This window comes from Homo sapiens, chromosome 1 (assembly GCF_000001405.40).
Source record: "Homo sapiens chromosome 1, GRCh38.p14 Primary Assembly".
Classification (NCBI taxonomy): domain Eukaryota; kingdom Metazoa; phylum Chordata; class Mammalia; order Primates; family Hominidae; genus Homo; species Homo sapiens.
This window is the reverse complement of record NC_000001.11, coordinates 114,591,745-114,616,115: the sequence shown is the minus strand read 5'-3', so window position 1 is coordinate 114,616,115 and position 24,371 is coordinate 114,591,745. Positions and strand designations below refer to the sequence as shown.

The following is a 24,371-nucleotide window of genomic DNA, read 5'->3' as shown; positions in this document are numbered from 1 at the left end:
ACCTGGCCAGAATTTTCTTTTTCTTTTTCTTTTCTTTTCTTTTGAGACAGTCTTGCTCTGTCACCCAGGCTGGAGTCCAGTAGTGCGATCTCGGCTCACTGCAAGCTCCGCCTCCCGGGTTCATGCCATTCTCCTGCCTCAGCCTCCCGAGTAGCTGGGATTACAGGTGCCCACCACCACACCCGGCTAATTTTTTGTATTTTTAGTAGAGACGGGGTTTCACCATGTTAGCCAGGATGGTCTCGATCTTCTGACCTCGTGATCCACCCGCCTCAGTCTCCCAAAGTGCTGGGATTACAGGCGTGAGCCACTGCGCCCGGCCCCCAGCCAGAATTTTCTTAATTACCCTTAAAAACCTATTTTATATTCTAACAACTTACTATATGAAAATAAAATCTTCTGGGTTACATCTTAAGTCTCTTTCCTGCTATGTACTGATTAAAATCAACTGGTCACTGTTTTTAACGTGAGTTTTCATAATTTGAGAGGCAATTACTAAAACATGTTTCAATCTTCTCTGGGGAAGAAATACTTTTGGTCATTGTTATTAATAGTAGCTACCATTTATGGAATGAAGTAATAGTTTCTTTACATATTTTATCTCATGTATAACGTATGACAACACTAGGAGGTAGGGACTATTATAATTTTACAAACAAAGAAGCTAAGACAGAGGAGGAAGCATAGATTTGAATCAAGGAGCATGGCTCCACATAGCTTATCTTTTTCTATCATCAACGGTTAACTTTCTCATAAATCTTGATTTTTAGCAGTTTAATCATCTCTTTTCCGTGTATTTTTTATCTTCAACAATGGTATTGTCAAAGGTATTTTTGTGTGTTATTTAAAACTAGACATAGAAAATGAAAACTCGTGCCAGGTATTGTGCTGCATCCTTTCTGATGCATTATTATTAATTTTCTAAATAACTCTGTGGCAGATAGTATTTTCATTATTTTACAGATAAGGAAATAAATTACACATTGCAAATCACATAAATTATCATATACTGGGGCCAGGACAAGTGCTTGTAAAACATTAACATTTTCTCAGATTAACAGCAGTCTATTCATAACTACTCTCTTCAGGTTTTTTTTTTTTTGAGACGGAGTCTTGCTCTGTTGCCCAGGCTGGGGTGCAGTTGTGCGATCTCGGCTCACTGCAACCTCTGCTTCCTGGGTTTAAGCAATTCTCCTGCCTCAGCCTCCCGAGTAGCTGTGATTACAGGCGTGTGTCACCACGCCCAGCTAATTTTTGTATTTTTTTTAGAAGAGACAAGGTTTCACCACGTTGGCCAGGATGGTCTCAATCTCTTGACCTCGTGATCCACCCGCCTCGGCCTCCCAAAGTACTGGGATTACAGGCATGAGCCACTGCGCCCAGGTATTTCTAAGTAGGTTATTACCAAGCCCTTAATTTATTTGTATGTCTATGCCTTATGGATTAGGAACATTGTAGTAAATTTGGTTCTAAGACAAGTTTTTGAAGAGCCAAAAATTTGTTTTAACTGTTTTAATGTTGAAAAGAAAAAAAAAATCCTCCAACTTCTAGCCAACTTCTGCTGTCCAAAACAAAAGTAAAGAAAAAAGGAGCAGCCTCTACATTGTAACACTTCACTTGTGGCTCAAATAAAATAAGCATTTACCTTTACCTACCTCTGTGACCAACTCCTCCAATGCACCAGAGGAATTTCTCTCATGCCTGACGATCTCCTGGCTTTGTCATCACAGTTCTCAGATTTTCATTTTCCTCCTTAAGCTTTTGTCTGTATATCAACAATGCCTAATACAATAGATAATTATATTTACCTACTGTGAAGTCCCTGCTAGAGTTTACTGAATATATTCCAACCTAAATATTTCTTCAGTTTTTTTTTTTTTTTTCAAGACAGAGTCTCACTCTGTCACACAGGCTGGGGTGCAATGATGCAAACATGGCTCACTGCAGCCTCAACCTCCTGGGTTCAAGCGATCCTCCCACCAGAGCCTCCTGAGTAGCTGGGACCACAGGCTCATGCCCACCACACCTGGCTAATTTTTAATTTTTCGTAGAGACAAAATCTCACCATGTTGCCAGGCTGGTCTTGAATTCCTGGGCTCAAGCGATCCTTCTGCCTTGGCCTCCGAAAATGCTGGGATTATAGGTATGAGCCACCATACCTGGCCCTAAATATTTCTTAACTTTCAGTTTTCAGGTATTACAAAATGACTTATCAGCCTTCTTCAATTCTGTCATTATAATTTTGTGTGTTGAAGTCTCATATTAAAAGAGGACAATCTGGTACTTTTTCGATCCCTGTGGATTCTCAGTAGATTTTTCTCTTGGCTCATAATCCCACTAACCTTCATTCATTGTCTTAGAATACACATCATCAAAACCCATAGATGTGAATATATTAAGCCAATTAAGTGATCTTTTATAAGGGCTTTTCCAGTTATATTGCCTTTTCTCCCTTTCTTCTCTCTTTTCTTTCTTTCCAAACACTTCCTAAGTTTCTAAGAGATACCTGGTACTAAGACTATAGATAGGACCAGGAGCTCACAGTGTTTATTTCTTTCTCTGAATAATATTTTATAGTCACACTATACTTTTTGTCATGGTGGTTAATTTTGAGTTATAAAACATATGTAATATGCAATATTTAAATAAGCATTTTTTCTGTAACATCTCTTATGTGTCTTTCCCACCTATCTTAAGAATAGGCAGCATTTATTTTAATGTTCTCTTATTCCTTATTATAAAATGAAAAGCCAGAGTTTTCCAAACCTCCTCCTTGCACACCTAGAAAATTTCATGTGCACGCAAATACATTTTCTACACAAATACTCTTACACTATTCAGACTTTGTATGCCTGCCTTTTTAAAAAAGCTTAATTAATGTACTTCAGAGCTCTTTCAGTATCAACACATAGAGATCCACATAGCTGTACTGTATTTCATTGCATAGATGTAAAATTTTATTTAGCTAGTAGACAGTTTAGTTGTTTCTAACCTTTTATTTAACCTGTGGATATTTAAAAGTGTGTGTGTCTACATAAAAATCTTCAAACAATGCTGCAAATGCATCTTTTACTTATATTTCTATATAAGACTATTTTTGTAGAATAAGTTCCTAGCAGTGAGCTTAATCAAAGAACATATGGATTTAAAATGTTGGCCAGGCATGGTGGCTCACACCTGTAACTCCAGCACTTTGGGAGGCTGAGGCGGGTGGATCACTTGACCCCAGGAGTTTGAGACTAGCCTGGGCAACATGACGAAACCCCGTCTCTACAAAAAATACAAAAATTAGCTGGGTGGCTGGGTGCGGTGGCTCATGCCTATAATCCCAGCACTTTGGGAGGCCAAGATGGGCAGATCACGAGGTCAGGAATTCAAGACCAGCCTGACCAACACGGTGAAACCCTGTCTCTACTAAAAATATAAAAATTAGCCCAGTGTGGCGGCACACGCCTGTAATCCCAGCTACTCAGGAGGCTGAGGCAGGAGAACTGCTTGAACCCTGGAGGTGGAGGTTGTAGTGAGCCGAGATTGTGCCACTGCACTCCAGCCTGGGCGACAGAGTGAGACTCTGTCTCAAAAAAAAAAAAAAAAATTAGCTGGGTGTGGTGGCACACGCCTGTAGTCCCAGCCTACTCTGGAAGCTGAGGTAGGGGGGATCAGTTGAGTCCGGGAGGCAGAGGTTGCAGTGAGCCAAGATTGTGCCACTGCACTGTAGCCTGTGCAGCAGAGTGAGACCCTGTCTCAAAAAAAAAAAAAAAAAATTTATAACTGCTGCCAAATTGTCCCACAAACAGATTGTAACAGCTTGTTTCTACAAACATCATTTGAAAATACCTCTTTCCCCATAATCTTCATCAATAAATACTATGCTTTATTAAAGCTTTTTATGGCAATATCATGGTTGAAAATGTATGTCTTGTTTATTGTTTTAATTTACATTTATTTCGTTATGAATTTGGGCAGTTTTCATGTTTATCAACAACTTATAAATCTTTTTCTATGAATTGCCTATTCCCACCCTTTATTCCTTTTTCTGTTGTGCTTTTTCTTCTTGATTTGTAACAGTTCTTTGAATATTAAGAAACTTAGCCTTGTGTCTGCAATGTGTTTACAAATATTTTCCCAGTTTATTGTTCACTTTTTGAGTTTAATACTGATTTTTAAATTAGATACAAGTTTATATAATCAAATTTCACTTATGACTTCTAGGCCTTATTTTTTCCCTTTCTTTGTATTTCTATTTTGCTTTAACTTTTCAAACTTAATCTAGAAATGTTTTATTTTAAAAGCTGCTTTGTGTGTGTGTGTGTGTGTGTGTGTGTGTGTGTGTGTGTTGCCTGTGCTCTCAGAATTATACAAAAACACTCCCTTGGGAAAACAAGATAGCCCCTTGTCCCCAAAATACTTAAAATCGGATTGGGGAAAGTAAGAATAGTTCAAAGCAGTATGAGTACTGTGAGAATTTGGAGTAAAGATCCATATGGACTAGAAGTAGTTTAGAGGCACTTAGAGGCACCATAGAAGAGGTAGGCTGACTTGGTAATATCTCTCTCCTAGTTCTCATGTTTTCCTGTTATTCTAAATTTATAGTCTGGTTGGTGTTTAGATTCTTGTTTAGCCCTGTTGGTGTTTGCCTTTGATACTCTATTTGGAATATACAAACAACTATGTGGATATAGAAATAGAATCCACTCTGAACTAGACTCTTAAAACTGGTCTGAAATGCAATTAGTTTCTAGAATTAGGGATGAGAGGGGAGCCGAGGAGTGAAGTAGGGTATGGGAAGAAGATGTAGTAGAGGAGTTTCCTCTTTGAGCTTTTTACTCTCTTTTGGTAACTATCCCAACTTGATACAACCAAGTGGTTTGGAGAAAGGCTCAGCAGCTTTATTATTCCTTACTCCAAGTCCCCAGGTTTGTGGGTTTACATTGTTCTCATCCTCATGTACTTCCTACTGTTGGACAATACAAATGGAAACTCCTTCTCTCTTTTCAGGTGAAACCAGTGGGAACGAAAGTGATGCCGAGTATCTGCCAAAGAGTGAGTGAGTCAATGGGGCTGCTCCCGTTGTTGTGATGATCATGGGTTAGGTGGAGTGGCACCTACCTTTGTGACTAAGCATGTTTTTTCCCACATGAAGTTCCATTTTGTAGATGATTTCCTTATTTTCAGAGCCTGTTGAGGTTTGGAGAATTAAACAGTCAGAATTAAACACTGTCAGATGTTTGACAGCATTTAAAGTCTCCCATAGTGGAGTGAGGCAAAACAGTATGGTTCTTATGATGGAATATTCTTAGGGGAGCGGCAGAGAGCTGCATGTCCAGACATATATGCAGTAGTTTCCTGGCAGCCAAAACAGAGTGTGTGAATCATCCTCTGAGCAGTAAATATCTGATTTTTTTTTTTTTTTTTTGAGACGGAGTCTCCCTCTGTCACTCAGGCTGGAGTGCAGTGGCGCAAGCTCGGCTCACTGCAACCTCTGCCTCCCGGGTTCAGGCAATTCTCCTGCCTCAGCCTCCTGAGTAGCTGGGATTATAGGCATGTGCCACCACGCCAAGCTAATTTTTGTATTTTTAGTAGAGATGGGGTTTCACCATATTGGTCAAGCTGGTCTCGAACTCCTGACCTCGTTGATCTGCCTGCCTTGGCCTCCCAAAGTGCTGGGATTACAGGCGTGAGCCACCGCACCCAGCCAAATGTCTGATTTTTTATAGCCACTCAAGTGTAATTATTTAAGTAACTTTGATATCTCTGACATTGAAAAAGGAAATATCTATTTGTTATTTATAGGCATTTATATTCCAGATTATTGTGCTGTTTACTTTCTAGTAGAATATAGAATGCACCATGCATTTCTGACTCTCTTTGTCCAAGCACTTCATGGTGCCTTCATCCTTCATCTAACGATGATGCTTTCTAGTTATCACAGCAAGTTATCTACTTCCTATTTAAGTGACTGTCATACTAAGCCATGGAAAAAGTAGAAGACATGCATTATCAAAGCTGAGTACAGGGCAGTTCCAGTTCCTAATCTGACACCCTAATTTTATGATTAATAGTCTTGTGCTCCCTCCACTGGCCTGAATTGCTTTAGGTGTTTGATTCTGTAGCCTGACTGAAGGTGAAATTTAATAATCATCAGGTTCAGCCTAGATGTGTGAAGATGACTAATTTAGGGCTGTTACTACTGAGAAACAGGACCTAAAATTTTCTTGACTTGAACTCAGCCCTTTGAGGTAAGTAAAGCTTTGACTAGAGCACTGAATGTACTGGATAATTCCGGGGAGCCATTCCAGGATGCATTTTTTAAAAATGCTCTTAATATTTTGATCTATAGTATAACTTCTTTTGGGACAGAATGCATTGTATCAAAAAGAAAGGAAAGACAATTAGAGGTTGAGTCTATCAGTGGCTCGGAATTATACATAAGCAAATCACTGGGACGTGTAGACTATTTTTTCTGCAAGTCCACAGTTTCCTTCAGTGGGGACCACCCCAGATTGCTCAAAATTTAGAGATAAATGAGAATAGAGGATAGATGCTATCCAGTTTTAATTGGTATTGCTATGACTGTTTAAATAGTATGCTTCCATAATTTTATTCTTTTAAGAAAGTCAGCTAATGGATGTCTTCTTCCACTTAATTTTTTTCTCTTGTGTGTAGCACCATTTACTGATACAAGTATATATTCATTGTTAGTAATATGTGGCAAGGAGAGAAGGGAACTGGACAGTTTCTTCAATGTGAGGAAAATTTTTATTTTAATTTATCAAACTCCCCCTTTCTGTACTTAGGACTGAATTATTTTATCAGATCTCTGCCCCCTGCCCCGTGCCACCTGGCACCCTGTGATTTCATGGCATTCCCAGCAGTAGCATCTGTTGTCAGTCTAGCGCTTTTTCGTGACATTTTCCATGTGTCCTGGTTTGATGCCATGAAAGATGGGATAGCATAGATTATTTGTTGGGACATACATAAGTATTGGTTGGGACATGGAATGTCAGTCCCACTGCTGGCCAGAAGTGGAGTGAGGCCCCTGCACACTTGTGAGGGTCTGCACTTCTTCCCCCTAGTATGTCACAGCCTTAACAGGTATGTCTATGTGGCAGATGCTGGTTATTCAACATTCATTCAGCAGTGACTGTGTGAAGATTAATCCTATGTGGGTCATGACCTCTGGATGCTGAAAGGAAGGTAGGGCTACAGAGAAAAAAACATTTCTCCATGATTTCATTACAGATCGCCATAAACGCTTAGCACAACTGCAACCGTCTTCCAAGAGGAATCCTCACTACCAGACCTTGGAGCGGGATCTTATTGAATTACAGGAGCAGCAGCTGTTTGAACTTTTTGTGGTGGTGTCTCTACAGAAGAAACCATCAGGAATAAGCTATATTCCCCAGGTCATACAACAATTCCCTGGCAAGGTAGGCACAAGGAGGCCAAGAGGCATTCAGGAATGTTCCTGTGTCTCTGTGTACATGTATTTCCTGTCCTCTTGGTTTTTGTTATCTCAACAAGTTTTTACCAATACTGTTCTTGTGGTAGGATCTGGTGGCTTTGAAAACATCTTATGTTAGGTATGAGCTGCAACCCAGCAAAACAAAGCAAAACAAAACAAGCTCATTTTCCTAGTTAGTTTTTTAAATTTTTGGCTCTGCCATTTAATAATCTTTAACAAGTTACAAAACCTTAGTTTTCTCATCCTTAAGGAGGGGAATAATAAATGTGACAGAATAGGGTAGTGGTTTAGAGCATGGACTCTGTGTGAAAGCTCTGCATTTCCCACTTACTAGTTCCGTGACTTTAAGCAGTTACTTTTCTTTTTCTTTCTTTTTTTTTTTTAGATGGAGTCTTGCTCTGTTGCCCAGGCTGGAGTGCAGTGGTGCAGTTTTGGCTCACTGCAACCCCTGCAACCTCCACCTCCCAGGTTCAAGCCTCTTGAGTAGCTGGGACTACAGGCGTGTGCCACCACACCCCGCTAATTTTTATGTTTTTAGTAGAGACAGGGTTTCACCATGTTGGCCAGGGTGATCTAGAACTCCTGACCTCAAGTGATCTGCCCACATCAGCCTCCCAAAGTGCTGGGATTACAGGCGTGAGCCACCACGTTGTGTCTTAGTTGTTTAATTTGTAAAATGGGGGTAATCACAATAGTATCTACCCCTCTGAGTCATAGTGAGGATTAAATAAGCTAATTTATATAAGGCACTTAGAACAGTGTCTGGCATATAGTAAGCTGAATATGATGTTATCCATTATCAGTAAGGATTTAGTGAGGTAATGTATATAGTGCTAATGCCATCCCTGGCACATAGTATGTACTCAATAAATGGTAGGTATTAATTTTTGGTAGCCATTATTATTAACAATAATATTTGGTTTCTCTACCTTTTTTTAAAAAATTGTTCATTCTTTTAATCAAATATTTTAAAAATACCTAATATTTGCCAGGATTAGATGATGGGAGTACTACTGAAAAAGATCTTCTTAGTCTCTGTTTCACAGAGCTTATTGAGCCTGTGAACCAGTTAAGCCCACAGACATGGTTGGGTTTCTTTTGCTTTGCATAGTGTTTGTGTAAAAGAACAACAATAATTTTTGTTGCCAACATTTAACAATCAAATTTCACATACAAATCTGTATTTCTGCCTTTTCCTGAGAAACTGGAAAGACTGCCAACACAGCCTGCATTCCTAAGTGTCAGGAATGGGTTGAAGCTTAATAAGGAGCAGGACTTCAGAGCAGGTGACCAGTGTAGTTACATAAGGCCCTCACTCAGAAGGGCCCTGCGTGTAGGGTTTAATGATCTGCAGTCACCATCTTGAAATGCTAAATAATTTTATCTTTGAATTTGTGTTTTGTAAATGAAGTCTGGTAGGAAAACTGGGCATGTGCCAAGGTCTTAAAGCCTGAGTTCATGCATGGTGTCACCTTCTGCTGCTTCCCTAGGATGAGTTCTCTTGTTGTCCTGTTCTCCACTGCCTGATTCCCTGGGCCCTAGTAAGTGCCCTTTCCACCCCTACTCAGTGACTACTGCCACTTTCTCCCCCTGGCTGGGCACAGGCATTGGGAGGGTTAGGATCAGACCAGCATTGCCCTGCAACATCTCCAGGCAAGGCATGGGGCAGCTTTCCCTGGCCTGGGCTGGTGGTGCCACTTGTGGGTGACTACTTGGGGATTGCTCAACTGCTGTGGGTTGGAATGGTGGCCCCCATGGGAAGGGGAGATGCCTGGCTTAACTTCCCAACCCCTAGTCGAAACACAGAGTCTCAATTCTGCAGCTACCCAGAGAGGAAACCCAGCACCTTGTGGGCCACTTGTGTACCGGATTGCAGACTGCAGCACCTGGGTGTCTGGGAGAGTCTACAGTCATCCCCCAGGATCCTCATGTCTGAGGGAGTGTGACATTAAATAGCAAATAAAAACTCCATTACAGAGGCCACAGAAGAAAAAAGATGTTTTATATTTAATTTGTTCTGCTTTTTGAACAAGGGGCTCCACATTTTCATTTTGCATTATGCTATCTGAATTATGTAGTTTTCCTTAGTAAGGAGTGATCCCTTTAATAGGGACATTTAGTCACTCTCCTGCTTATTACTTGGACGACTTCTTTCATTTCAGTTATCTGCTTGGCCACTTTAGGACTGTTGGGTTTATAACCCTGAGTTACATGTTTCACTAAAAAAGCTGGTGAAGTACAACTGTACTGGAATCTAAGAGACATTTCCTGCATGGATTCTCATTTTCAAAAAGTCCTCAAAAATATCCCTGCAGTAAATAATCAGTAAGTTTAATTTCTTATAAAATTTCTCAATGTAGCCTGAAAGTACAATGTCACAGCACTGTTAAGTGACCCAGAATGGCTACATAGTTTGTTTTTTTTTAAGAAATTAAAGGAGCTGTGCACAGTGGCACATAATTGTAATCCCAGCTAGTTGGCCAGCTGAGACACGAGGATCACTGGAGCACAGGAGTTTGAGGCCAGCCTGGGCAACATGGCAAGACCTCCTTCTCAACAACAACAAAAAAGAAATTAAAAGGGAGATCATTGTTATTAGTTATCTGAAGGCAATATGGTAATTAGACTTAAGGGCTTGTTTTTATAGAGGACAGGTCATACTAATTTCTAAATGTCTGGTTTACTGAAATTTAGACTGTCATATAAGTACAGTACCAGATTTATGCAAAAGGATCTTCTATGCTAAAATTTTACAAGAAGTTCCAAACCAGCAATTAGGTAGCAAAGATTCTATGCTAAAGGAAATGATTATATATGGGGTGGATTCTCAAAATAGTATCTTTTATGTTTTCTTTTTTTGAGACAGGTTTCTCTCTGTCACCCAGGCTCGAGTACAAGGCGCAATCATGCCTCACTGCAGCCTCGTCCTCCCAGGCTCAAGAAATCCTCTCACTTCTCAGCCTCCTGAGTAGCTGGGACTACAGGCATGTGCCACCACACCCAGCTAACTTTTCTATTTTTTGTAGAGATGGGGTTTCACCATGTTGCCCAGGCTGGTCTCCAACTCCTGGGCTCAAGTGATGCGCCCACCTTGGGCTCCCAAAGTGCTGGGATTACAGGCCAGTGCATCTGGCCGTATCTTTTCTAAATAACATTCATCTACCATTTCAAAGCTTCTTTGATTATTGTTTGGAAAGTGTCTTGAGCCGACTAGGTTTTTGTTCTCAGTACATTGAAGAATGGATTTTTATCTTATACCCCACGGTTCATAAAAATACTGGGTTCCCATTTAGTGTGTGAATCCTGAATTAAGATTTTACCTCTTGATAGGAAACTTTTCACTAATCTCTCTTACAGTAGATGCTGAGATATCCACAGATACCATTTCTAAGTAAAAACAGGATTCTTTTTTCTTAGTAACTCTGTTCTCAGTGCATCCTCAGTGATTTCCAGAATTGACTTTTTAATTTAGTTAAGCAGTACAAAACCATGCTGAGGCTTATCAGCAACTACTCAGGCTTATCAGAGACCTTTTTTCCTGAGACAAGGCTGAGTTTTTTATTTCTATTCCCCACTTACATAGTATAATTTAAGTCACCTATGGTGTTATCTTTTTCAGGATGATCATGGCTATAAGCAGTCCAAAGACATGGAAGAGAGACTTAAAGTTATTCCAAAATTTTGTTTTCCTGATTCAAAGGACTGGATGCCAACCTCAGAACTCAAGAGGTAAATGGGCTAATTTATCTGATTTCTATTCATTAGACCTGCAAAAATAAATCAGAGTATTTGAGAAATGGGTACAGCCATTAGTGAAGCTATGTGAATACTGTGGCAAGTCAAGGATGTGGTAGGAGGAAAGGAAGAAGCAGAACTAGAACATTTCCTATGTGGGGCTTAAAAAAATAAAAACGTGGAATAATTTCAGTGTCAAAAGGAAAACAAATTTGAGAGTCTCTTCAGTTTGCCAGTTCTACAAAAAAAAAAAAAAGTTCTATTTTACATACAATCAGAAATGCTCCCAAGTGGACAGAAAATGAAAAAAGACTTGGATTTTGAGACTCAACCTAGAAACAGAGATAAAACAGAGCAGTGTCTTCATCTTTATCTTCTTTCTTCTTCAAATTAACAGAATAATCCACAGCCCAGCTTTTATGTTCCTCTGTGGAACCTGTACAAAGGGAGGCTCCAGTTTGGGAAGTGTAGTATATTAAGAAAGGAAGTTATTAAAGGATTTCTTCCAGGTATCTAGAGGAAATTACTACTTTTAATTAATAAACTATCATAATCTCTGAATTCTGCTTGTAAATATTAATAGATGCCTGCTTTGTTCAAAACTATAATTATTGATGATGCCATTTAGTTTGAAAAGCTTTATTCATTGAACCGTATCACATGGTAATGACCTTCTGGATAATAGCCTCAGCTGTTGCTTAAATATCTCTGCACTTCAACTTCGTGTTGCTTCCAGACTAAGCTACTATCTCTCATAAGCAGTTTAGCCTGATTGACACTCTCATCTCTCAGCCATCACTGTTGATGCTCTTGTGTTGTCAGTTGCACTGCTACCTTTATAAACAGCAGCTTTCATAGTGGCCTGGCTGCTCTGTGGCTGGCTTTTCCCCACAACAAGTTATATATGTTTATTCTAGACTATTTGGGAAACACAGAAGAGTAAATAAAAAGCAGAAATTACAGATCACTGGCAGTCTGGTTACTCAAAAGTAATCACTGTAAATATTTTGTCATATTCCCTTCCAATCTTTATTTTTAGCCAAATACAGACATGTATATATTGTTCAAGTTTGGATTTAGGCCAGGTGCAGTGGCTCACACCTGTAATCCTAGCACTTTGAGGCTAAGGTGGGAGGATCATTTGAGGCCAGGTTTGAGACCATCCTGGGCAACATAGCAAGTCCCTGTCTCTACAAAAAATACCAAAAGAACTAGCCAGACACGGTGGTGTGCAGTAGCTACTCGGGAGGCTGAGGCAGGAGGATCACTTGAGCCCAGGAGTTCAAGGTTGCAGTGAGCTATGATTGTGCCACAGTACTCCAGCCTGGGCAACAGAGCAAGACCCTGTCCAAAAATAATAATAATAATAATAAAAGGAAGGAAGGAAGGGAGGGAGGGAGGAAAGAAGGTAGATAATAAATATGTCTTCAGAAAATTAAGTTCTGTTCAGTGAGACCCAGTCTCTTAAAAAAAAAAAAAATTGGACTTGGCCAGGTGCTGTGGCTCACGCCTGTAATCCCAGGCCAAGGCGGGTGGATCACCTGAGGTCAGGAGTTCGAGACCAGCCTGGCCAACATAGTTAAACCCCGTCTCTACTAAAAATAAAAAATCAGCTGGGTGTGATGGCACATGCCTGTAGTCCCACTACTCGGGAGGCTGAGGCAGGAGCATTGCTTGAACCCAGGAGGCGGAGGTTGCAGTGAGCAGAGATTGCGCCACTGCACTCCAGCCTGGGCGACAGAGTGAGACTCCGTCTCAGAAAAAAAAAAAAAATGGACTTATTTGATTATTGAGTCTGAGTTTCTTTCTTGGGTATATTTAGGTTTTCATTTTGTAAATTATCAACACATATCTTTTGCCCATGTTTCTAATGAGTTGATATTTTTCTTAATAATTTTTACATATTAAGGATATAATCCTTTGCCTATTGCTGCTCTATACAGCCTCTCAGAACTAAAGAGAAGAATTTGGAACTGAGAAATAACGTATCAAAAGTCTTTGTAGCTTACCTATCTGTTTGACTAAATTGGGCATTCAACAAAAGGAAAATAAGGCCAGGCACAGTGGCTCATGTCTATAATCCCAGCACTTTGGGAGGCTGAGACAGAAGGATTATTTGAACGCAGGTGTTTAAGACCAGCCCTGTCAAGATAGTGAGACCTTATCTCTACACAAAATTAAAAGATTAGTGGGGCATGGTGGCACACATCTGTAGTTCCAGCTACTTGGGAGGCTGAGGTGGGAGGATCACTTGAGCCCCAGGAGGTCAAGGCTGCAGTGAGATCTGTTTGCACCACTGCACTCCAGCCTGGGCAACAGAGTGAGACTGTCTTAAAAAATAAAAATAAAATTTAAATGAAAATAACCCGATTAATACCTAGAGTGGATGAATAAGAAAACAAAAGGAACCAACATCAACAGCTTATCTCATACCTATTCTCTCACTCCAGTACAAGGCAAGATATTCTTAAGGCCTGGGCATTCCTTAGGAGGAGTGTAACTTGCAATGAATGTAATATTATGCCTCCTCTTAGATCACTTGAAAACCTGGACTCTAGTTTTCAATTGTTTTTTCCATGGAGAATGCCGTAAGTGGTTGTTTGGATCCTAACTAGATCACAAAATGACTACTGTTGGACTCTAGTTTTCAATTGTTTGTTCCATGGAGAATGCCATAAGTAATTGTTTGGATCCTAAACTAACTATTGGCTCTTTTTTCAGTGAAACATTCTCCTTTGTCTTGACTGGTGAAGATGGAAGCCGGTGGTTTGGTTACTGTAAGAAGCTCTTGGTAAGTATCAGATTTGTGTTACAGACAGGGTTGGTCAAGGAATAATTGAGTCAGAGTAGGAACTTCAGAAACACTATCTCTAGATGAGTTTGAGGGATGCTCAATGATCTGTGTATTAAGGAAGCTGTATTAGCTTTAAACAGCAAGAGGAAGGTGGGGGTTAACCATGGAGTGTTCTAGAAGAGAAGGGGTATGGATTTATTTTATTTGTTTATAATAGAGGAAGTAACTGATGACATAGTGGCTGAATCTCAGTCTGGATATATTTGAAATAGAGTACAATGAGCTACTCGAAGGAGCTCTGAGTTACTCACCAACCATATTAGGGCTTTTTTCTTGCTTGGGTGGCTTCACTAAACCTAGAATAAAACATGCTATCATTTTTAGCACTTTTCACATCTTTCAGTGTTCACTAAAGATGAGAGCCTTGGTTACTGCTCCGTACTAAAGAGTAGTAAAAGATAATTAATAGTCCAAATTAGTATTAATAAAAATGTATGCGGCTTGATTTTTTTGTTGTTGTTGTTTTTATCTTTTAGCCAGTAGGCAAAGGAAAGCGACTCCCTGAGGTATACTGCATGGTTAGTCGCCTAGGCTGCTTCAATCTTTTTTCAAAGGTGAGTGGAGAATGAGCTGTATGAAAAATGGTGTCCTTTTTGAGCTCTTAATATTAAGTGGCATAGAGTTTAACATGTTACTTCAGAAAGGTTCCCTATTAGTAAACTAGGAACCACGTGCCTGAAGGCTTAAACTTACATCTCTAATCCATTTGCTCTTGCTATATCATCTTCATTTTGGTTTGCTAGAACTTTCAGCTTAAGGGAGAACATAGTCCAAAGCTTATCTTGTCTCGTGTCTTTCTTAGACCAAATTGCAGGATATCATTGTCACTGTCACCTTCTTTGCCCCTCCCTTAGTGAGATGAAAAGGGGCTTCTCCTTTAAAAATAAGTTGATTTATGTTAGTAACTTTTCTTCAGGGTATAATGATACCTCCCAAGAGATATGATGCTTATTTAACTTTTATTGATTGCAGAAGCTTATCTGTCTTAAATTTTATTTGGGTTATTTTAAAGTTTGTACACCAGGTTTGGCAGTTCCTGTAATGGCATTCTTTTATATTTTTTAACTTAGTCCATAATAAAATAACACTTTGCGTATATAGATTCTGGATGAAGTAGAGAAGAGAAGAGAAATGTCTCCAGCCCTTGTTTACCCATTCATGCGAAGTGTCATGGAAGCTCCTTTCCCAGCTCCTGGACGCACCATCACAGTTAAGAGTTACCTCCCTGGGGCTGGAGATGAGGTAAGTTAGCTCATTTTGAAAAGATTTGATAGCACTAAAAAGCAGGACTTACACTAGTAGGCAGTTTCCAGAGCCCAAGGGGATAGATTTCCCTTTTCCATAAACTGTAAAGAATATGTTTTATTTCCATAAAGCACTGGAGAAATATCCAGTTGATCTGTGACATAGTTCTTCCTAGACCCAGGACCCAGAGATTTTCTACCATACATAGACTGAGTCCCTTTGTAATGACAATTTCATGTGATAAATGAAGACTGTATATACTATTGTCAGAAGGAATACAGGATCTTGATTTACAGCACAAAAATAAGCTGTTGGGTCCTGGCATTAGTATAGGAAGCTTCACAGACCCCGTGTAGCAGACCTTTCTTGAATTTAACTTATATAAGAATAACAGGATCCATAGCGTTGGCACTAGGGATTGTTTTCCAACATTAGCTCACCTGATTCAACTTCTTGCATTTCAGTCCATTGAACTCTGCCGACCACTAGATTCCCGATTGGAACATGTTGATTTTAAATGTCTCTTTAAGTGCCTGAGTGTGTGTCATCTCATCCGGGTCTGTGCCTCTCTCCTTTTGGAGCGTAGGGTAATCTTTGTTGCCAACAGCCTAAGGTAAGAAATAAGTGAAATATGTTACTTCACACTGGTGTTTTATTTGTTCCAAATTTTAAAATTGGGGCATTTTTTTTTATTTTACTATTATACTTTAAGTTCTAGGGTACATGTGCACAACGTGCAGGTTCATTACATATGTATACATGTGCCATGTTGGTGTGCTGCACCCATTAACTCGTCATTTACATTAGGTATTTCTCCTAATGCTAGCCCTCCCCCCATCCCCCCACCCCACGACAGGCCCCGGTGTGTGATGTTCCCTACCCTGTGTCCAAGTGTTCTCATTGTTCAATTCCCACCTATGAGTGAGAACAAAAATTTGGGCATATTTTTGAAATGTAGGATCAGTCTCTCAGTTATCTAGTGGTATATAGTGGCATGGATAATTTTAAATGGTAAATCATCAAAAAGCCACTTGCGTTAGGCTATACCAATGACTTTTGTGGGTTGTAATAAATTTCCCTTTTAAATGCATTTTGCTTACCCTATTGTCAAAAGTTGGTAATACTTTTCTAAGTACACTAATTTTTCGCATGAGAAATTGTGGAAATGAGCTGGATTAAGATTGAACATTTTCAGTAAAGTAAGTTTAAATTTTAAGTAAAATGTTAAAAAATTAATGACTGTTTGCATAGTTTTTAATCTATGATCACTAACCAGCATCAATTTTTAATTCTTTAACATAATAACTGAAATGTCCTCCTTATGTTACTCTATATATGACACCATTTGTTTTCTCCTCTGGCTAGCACCCTGTCAAAATGTGGCCATGCTGTGGTAGCTACACTGTATCCGTTCACCTGGCAGCATACCTATATCCCAGTCCTGCCAGCATCTATGATTGACATCGTGTGCTCACCTACACCATTCCTTATTGGAATCCTGTCTTGCTCCTTACCACAGCTCCAGGACCTACCCATTGAAGAGGTGAGATAGAAGAATGGAACCTAATATTGGAGCATTGAGAAGTAAAAATAAGTGATCTTAAGAGTGGTGGAATTGTTATTAATTTAGTTATTACTATTTTATGCTATTTATAATATTTCTATTAAATTATTATAATATTGCTGTTTATAATACTTCTAGTATTAAGATGGGAAAATTCGATAGTACACATAAATCCAAAGCTGTATCTTATTTACAGTAGTAACCTTGGGCTCATTCTTGTGTTATTCTGAAGGGTACACTACTCTGGATTAACTTTAAAAATTATTTCAAGGCCGGGCATGGTGGCTTATGCCTGTAATCCCAGCACTTTGGGAGGCTGAGGCAGGTGGATCACTTGAAGTCAAGGAGTTTGAAACCAGCCTGGCCAACATGGTAAAACTCCATCTCTACTAAAAAGACAAAAATTAGCGAGGCATGGTGGTACATGCCTGTAATCCCAGCTACTTGGGAGGCTGAGGCAGGAGAATTGCTTGAATCTGGGAGGTGGAGGTTGCAGTGAGCCGAGATCATGCCACTGCACTCCAACCTGGGCGACAGAGGGAGACGCTGTCTCAAAACAAAAACCCAAAAAACCTTATTTCAAATATAACACACATATAGATAAGTGGTTAAAGCAAAATGTACAGATACATAATGAGCATTAGAATGGAATGGAAATATTACCACAATGGGATCAGTGCCAGCCCCCTAGAAGACCCCATCATGCCTCTTTCTGTTTCCATCCCCATCCCCCACCAAAGGTACTCATTATCTTGACTTTTATGGTATTCATTTACTTGTTTTTGCTTTATAGTTTTACCCCTTGGCATTCCTCCCTAAGCAATGTAATTCAGCTTTGTCTGGTTTTAAGCTTGATATAAATAGATTCATATGGTATATATATTTTTGCCTGGCTTCTTTTTCTCAACATTATATCTGTAAGATTAATCTATGTTGATGAGGTCAACAATAGTCTGATCATTCTAATTGTATATAGGATTCCATTGTGTGAATGTACCACAATTTTCTTATCCATTCTACAGTTGAACATTTGAGTTGTTTCCAGTTTGAGGTTGTTATGAATAATGTTGCTATAAATATACATGACCCTCAGTGCATACACACATGCAGTTCAATGGGTATATACTTGGAAATTGAATTGCTGAGTCATAGGGTAAACATATCTCCAACTTTAATAAATAAAGTTAAATTGTTTTCCAAAGTAGTTGTGCCAATTTAAATTCCCTTCAACAGTGTATGAGAGTTCCTGTTGCTCCACGTCTTCACCATCACTTTTTATCATCAGTTGTATAATTTAGCCTATCTGGTGGGTGCGTAGTGTTATTCATATTGTGGTTTAATTTGCATTCCTTGATTCCTGTTGAGGTTGAGCATCCTTCTATTTATTGGTCTCTTGAATATCATCTTTTATAAAAATCTTTGTCTCTTTCCACTACATTGTTTACTCTCTTACTGTTTTGTTTCGTTTTTGAGATGGAGTCTCAATCTGTTGCCCAGGCTGGAGTGCAGTGGCGTGATCTCAGCTCACTGCAACTTCTGCCTCCCAGGTTCAAGCAATTATCGTGCCTCAGCCTCCCAAGTAGCTGGGACTACAGGTGCACACCACCATGCCCAGCTAATTTTTTGTATTTTTAGTAGAGACGGGGTTTCACGATGTTGGCCAGGCTGGTCTCAAACTACTGACCTCAAGTGATCTGCCTTCTTCGGCCTCCCAAAGTGCTGGGATTACAGGTGTGAGCCACTGCACCCAGCCCCTACTCTCTTATTGTTCAAGATGCCTTTTTTTCCTTTTCTTCTCTTTTCTTTTTGAGATGAAGTCTCACTCTTGTCCCCCAGGCTGGAGTGCAGTGGTGTGATCTCGGCTCACTGCAACCTCCGCCTCCTGGATTCAAGCGATTCTCCTGTCTCAGCCTCCCAGGTAGCTGGGATTACAGGTGCCTGCTACCACGCCCGGCTAATTTTTGTATTTTTAGTAGAGACGGGGTTTCACCATGTTGGCCAGGCTGGTCTTGAACTCCTGATCCCAGGTGATCCGCCCGCCTCAGCCTCCCAAAGTGCTGGGATTACTGGAGTGAGCCACTGCGCCTGGCGTTAACATGTCTTTTTATATTCTGGGTACTGGCCCCTTTGTCTGTGGCTTGCCTTTTCATTTTCAAAAATGATGTTTTTTAATGCACAGAAATTCTTAATTTTAATGTGGTTAAAATTATCAATCTTTTTCGTTATAGATGGTGTTTTTAGTGAGCTGCTTAAGTTACTTTATATTAACTTCATGAAAATATCCTCCTATATCATCTCTTGGGCCTTTCATTATTTTGCCTTTAACTTTTGATTATGAATCCTCCTGGAACTTGATTTTTGTGTGTATAATGTGAAGTAGGGGTTGCTTCATTTGTTTTTATATGGATAACCGTCTGTGTCGATACCACTTACTGAAAAGACTGTTCCCCATTACTCCGCTGCCTTGTCCTTCTTTTAAAAAATAAAAAATTTAAAAAAAAACTTTTTATTTTGGAAACTTTAAACATATGTAAAAGTAAACAGAAGAGTGAAATGAATCCTTGTGTACCAGTCACCCCACTTCAGTACTTATCAAGTCATGGCCTGTCTTTACTCTTACCCATTCCTCTTTCCCATAATATTTTGAAGGATATCCTGACACAATTTCATCTCTAAATATTACAATGTGAATCTCTATAACATAAGGGCATATTTAAACATAAACTCAATACCATTATCACACCTAAAATATCCAACAATTCCTTGATATCAGCAAAATCCAGTGTTTAAATCTCTAGTTGTCTCATAAACTTTTAATAATTTGTTTAAATCAGGTTCCAAACAGAGTCCACACATTGTACTTATTTATTTATTCATTTATTTGTTTATTTAGAGACAGGGTCTCACTCTGTCACCCAGGCTGGAGTGCATTGGCGCAATCACAGTCACTGCAGCCTTGACCTCCCAGACTCAAATGATCCTCTCAGATCAGCCTCCCGAGTAGCTGGGACTACAGGTGTGTACTACACGCCCAGCTAAATGTGTAGAGACAGGGTCTCACTGTGTTGCCAGGGCTGGTCTCCAACTCCTGGGCTGAAGAGATCCTCCTGCCTCGGCTTTCCAAAGTGCTGGGATTACAGGTGTGAGCCACCGTGCCTGGCCCCACACACTGTATTTAGTTGACATATTTTTAGTCTCTTTTAATCTATAGGTGTGCATGTCATCATTCTTTTACTTGCAATTTATTTTTTGTTGTGTTGATTGGCTAACTTTTAAATGGGCTGAAACTTTGAGTAAATTTTGTTTAAAACTATTCTCATTGCCTGTATTTGTCTGTGAATGTCTCTGGTTGAACTTGCCTGGCTCCTTTATTTCATAGGTGCTGATAGTTGATCTCTGTGCAGACAAGTTCTTACAGGAGGTGAGTGCCAAAGGAGGTAATTACTTATGTTTTAGGATAAATGTCTACTGTAGATAATTGGACAGACAATATGTGAAAGTACTTAGAGAATATGACTCAGGCAAAACTTTTAGTTCCTACACATACTTGAATTGACACCATGGCCAATCATGCAAGATTGACCTGAAAAATTTGGCTTCAGTTTATAGCTGCCTATCCCAAAGGAGGAAGGAGGAAACATAAATGTCTCATTCTCAAAAGAGGTAAAACCACCCTTCAACTCCAGGTGGGTCGACACATAAGCCTCTAATTTAATTACATTTTAAAAGCATTTATTAAGCACTGATTATTTCTTTTTTTTTTTTTTTTTGAGATGGAGTCTCGCTCTGTCGCCCAGGCTGGAGTGCAGTGGCGCAATCTCGGCTCACTGCAAGCTCCGCCGCCTCCTGGGTTCACGCCATTCTCCTGCCTCAGCCTCCCGAGTAGCTGGGACTACAGGTGCCTGTCACCACACCCGGCTAATTTTTTGTATTTTTAGTAGAGACAGGGTTTCACCGTGTTAGCCAGGATGGTCTCGATCTCCTGACCTCGTGATCCGCCCGCCTCTGCCTCCCAAAGTGCTGGGATTACAGGCGTGAGCCACCATGCCCGGCCAAGCACTGATTATTTCTAGATATTCTGTTAGAATGTAAAAATGAGTAAGACACAGTTTGAACCCTCAGGTCTTACAGTCTAATGGGGAGAAACAGACACACATAAAGTTTTAGAAATTGTATAATAGAAATTTGTACAAGGTACAGTGGGAGCAAAAATGAAGTGACCATTTATTCTGAATATTGAAGTGGAAAGGAAGAGTTCATAAAGCCTCCTCAGAGCAGCCCTCCGCATATAACCTGTATGTAGGAGTGTGAGCTCTGAAACACAGGGTGAAAAGAAGAGTGTTTCCCAGGACATTTTCAGAATCAATTAGCTCATCATGTTTGAAACACTATTTGTGGATGATCTTCATAATATAACAGAAGACTTGTAGATGAGAGAGATCTGGTGGAAAAGTGCCAGAAAATTTTACAAAGTATATATTTTTTTAATATAGTTAAAATATACACCATAAACATGAAAGATTCTTCATGTAGGGAAGGAGACTTCAGACTGACTCTTTAGCCAAAATATATACAGTCACTTGTGGAATTTTGGAGAAATAACTAGGGCATATTTGAGACTTAATCCCTCAAATCTCAAACAAAGAAAAATCTCCATTTTTTTTTCTTCTTAAGGTATCTGATGAGGATGAAATTCTACCACCAAAACTTCAAGCTGCCCTGATGCAGATTTTGGAAGAACGAAATGAAATCTTGACTCAGGAGCAGAATTTTTCACAAGGTATGAGACAAGTGAGCCAAGGACTTAAGGTTAAGGGTTAAGGTAGTAAATATTTACTGAATGCCCAGCACTATGTTAAAGGATATACCAAAGTAGCATTAGATTGCCTGTGCGCTGAAAATCCTATAATCAGCTTCCTTGCTTATCCTCAGTATGCCAGGTCCTCTTCTATTTCAGGACCTTTGCACTTGCTCAGTTACATTTATAGAATGCTATTCCCGCAGATATCCACATGACTCCTGCCCTTTCTTCCTGTAGGTCCATGCTCACATCATCTTCTCACTGAGGCCCTTCCTGACTGTCCTATATTAAATTGTACCCATTCCTCTAGTGCTCCTTATCCTCTTCCCTTTGCTTTAATTTTATTCAAGGCTCTTAGCACTATCTCATATTCTACAGCATAAGTTCCGTGAGAACAGTGGCTTTATTTTGTTCTCTATCTCTAGTACTTTAAACAGTATTCGGTAAATAGGTACTCAATAAATACTTGTTAAATAAATGGGCAAATAATATTTATTGGGTGTTTATACTGTATCAGGCATATGCTAAGCACTTGACATACATTTTGTTTTATCTTTATGAAGCAGGTATCATTATTTAATCTTCATTTTACAGATGAGAAAAGGCTATGTACTGACAGGGAACATTAGGGAAGGAGCAGCGTTTTTTGTTTGTTTGTTTTGGGTTTTTTCTTTTTCTGTTTTTTGTTTCTTGCTCTGTCACCCAGGCTGGAGTGCAATGGTGCAATTATAGCTCACTGCAGCCTCAACCTCCTGGGCTCAAGCAATCCTCCTGCCTCAACTGGGACTACAGGCATGCACCACCACACCTAGCTAATCTTTTTATTTTTTGTAGAGACAGGGTCTCACCACGTTGCCTAGGTTGATTTCAAACTCCTGGTCTCAAGCAATCCTTCCGCCTTAGCCTCACAAAGCACTGGAATTACAGTTGTGAGCCACCACACCTGGCCTAGAAGGAGCAGATTTAGAGGAGTAATAAAAAGTTTAGTTTTGGATGTTACAGTTTGAGATACCTATTAGAAGTTTAATACTTAAGCAGACATCCAACTGGAAATGTTTTAGAAGAAAGATTTGGGCTAAAAGCAAACATTTAGAAATTGCTGTTTTAAAGCTGTGGGACCAGATGAGATGATCGTATAGAGTGAGTATTGTTAGAAAATAACAAAGGTTTAAGGATTGAGCCCTGTGTTGGTTGTAAATGGCGTGGTTAGATTTCCAACACTTGGAGGTTGGAAGGAGGAGAACTATCCAGCAACAGAGGAGCAGCCAGTAAAGAAGGAGAAAAACCAGGAAAGTATGTGTGTAAACTGCCAGGAGTGTGGGCAGGTACAGTGGCTCACACCTGTAATCCCAGCACTTTGGGAGGCCAAGGCAGGAGGATTGCTTGAACCTAGGAATTCCAAACTAGCCTGGGCAACATAATGAGACCTCATCTCTACAAAAAGTGAAAAGAAAAATAAAAAACAAACAGGAGTGTGACATTGCAAAAGTTGAGCAAAGAGAATACTTCATGAAAAGAAGAGTAATCAATTATGCCTACAGCTGCAAAGAGACCAAGTATGGCGACGATTAAGATTTGACCAGTGGATTTGACAATATGAAGACCTTGATAACAGCAGATTCAGTGGAATGAGGGGAAGAAAGTGAGATGGGAGAGGGTTCAAGACAGAATTAGAATTCCATTCAGCAATTGATTGTAAAATTTATTATTTATTATTTTTATTTTTATTTTTGAGACAGGGTCTCGCTTTGTCACCCAGGTTGGAGTGCAGTGGTGCGATCATAGCTCACTGCAGCTTTGACCTCCTGAGCACAAGCAATCCTCCCACCTCAGCCAGCCATGTAGCTGGGCCTACAGGCGTGCACCCTCACACCTGGCTGGTTTTTTTGTATTTTTTGTAGAGACGGGCTTTCACGATGTTGCCCAGGCTGATCTTGAACTCCTGGGCTCAAGCAATTCACCCACCTCAGCCTCTCAAAGCCGTGGGATTACATGGGTGAGCCATTGCGCCCAACCATAAAATTTAATTGTATGTACAAAGGGCCAAGAATAGCCAAGGCACTCAAAAAAGAACAAGACTGGAAGGCTTGCACTACTAGACATCAAAAATTATTATAAAGATAGTAATTAAGATAGTTTGGTTTTGGTGCAGAAATAGAGCAATAGAAAGAATACAGAGTGCATATACATAAGGAAACTTGATTTGTGTCAGAGCCAGCGTTGTGTATCAGTGGAAAAAGGATGGACCATTTAATAAATGATACTAGGGCCGGGCACGGTGGCTCACATCTATAATCCCAGCACTTTGGGAGGCGGAGGTGGGCAGATCACTTGAGGTCAGCAGTTTGAGACCAGCCTGGCCAACATGGTGAAACCCCATCTCTACTAAAAATACAAAAATTAGCTGGGTGTGGTGGTACGCGCCTGTAATTCCAGCTACTCAGTATGCTGAGGCAGGAGAATCGCTTGAACCCGGGAGGTGGAGGTTGCAGTGAGCCAAGATTGTGCCACTGCACTCCTGCCTGGGTGAGAGAGTAAGACCCTGTCTAAAATAATAATAATAATAATAAAAATAATAATAATAATAATAAATGATACTAGGACAATTGGTCTCTATATGAAAAAAATGAATATGGATCTACACCTCACACTATACAGAAAATTAATTCCAGTGAATTTAAAGACTTAAATGTTAAAAGCAAAGCTT

The 24,371-nt window shown here is 39.8% G+C and overlaps 1 protein-coding gene across 2 annotated transcripts in view, besides 1 other annotated feature; it reads left to right on the top strand.

The window, feature by feature from the left end:
* DENND2C (DENN domain containing 2C) overlaps nucleotides 1–24,371 on the top strand; it is an 87,200-nt gene that overhangs the window by 53,934 nt on the left and 8,895 nt on the right. For both annotated transcript variants that reach the window (NM_198459.4, NM_001256404.2), the window contains 10 exons: nucleotides 4,999–5,043; nucleotides 7,243–7,430; nucleotides 11,085–11,194; nucleotides 13,922–13,991; nucleotides 14,531–14,608; nucleotides 15,156–15,296; nucleotides 15,764–15,912; nucleotides 16,665–16,842; nucleotides 20,243–20,284; nucleotides 21,538–21,643. In NM_198459.4, coding sequence (NP_940861.3) covers nucleotides 4,999–5,043; nucleotides 7,243–7,430; nucleotides 11,085–11,194; nucleotides 13,922–13,991; nucleotides 14,531–14,608; nucleotides 15,156–15,296; nucleotides 15,764–15,912; nucleotides 16,665–16,842; nucleotides 20,243–20,284; nucleotides 21,538–21,643 — 1,107 coding nt within the window. The remainder of the gene's footprint in view (nucleotides 1–4,998; nucleotides 5,044–7,242; nucleotides 7,431–11,084; nucleotides 11,195–13,921; nucleotides 13,992–14,530; nucleotides 14,609–15,155; nucleotides 15,297–15,763; nucleotides 15,913–16,664; nucleotides 16,843–20,242; nucleotides 20,285–21,537; nucleotides 21,644–24,371) is intronic.
* Nucleotides 15,088–16,287: an enhancer, noted in NCBI's record as "BRD4-independent group 4 enhancer chr1:115142450-115143649 (GRCh37/hg19 assembly coordinates)". NCBI's record gives its function as "activates an origin of replication core promoter dependent on BRD2, P300/CBP, MED14 and CDK7 cofactors, and independent of BRD4, by STARR-seq in HCT116 cells {active_cell/tissue: HCT116}" and the evidence as "EXISTENCE:reporter gene assay evidence [ECO:0000049][PMID:35650434]".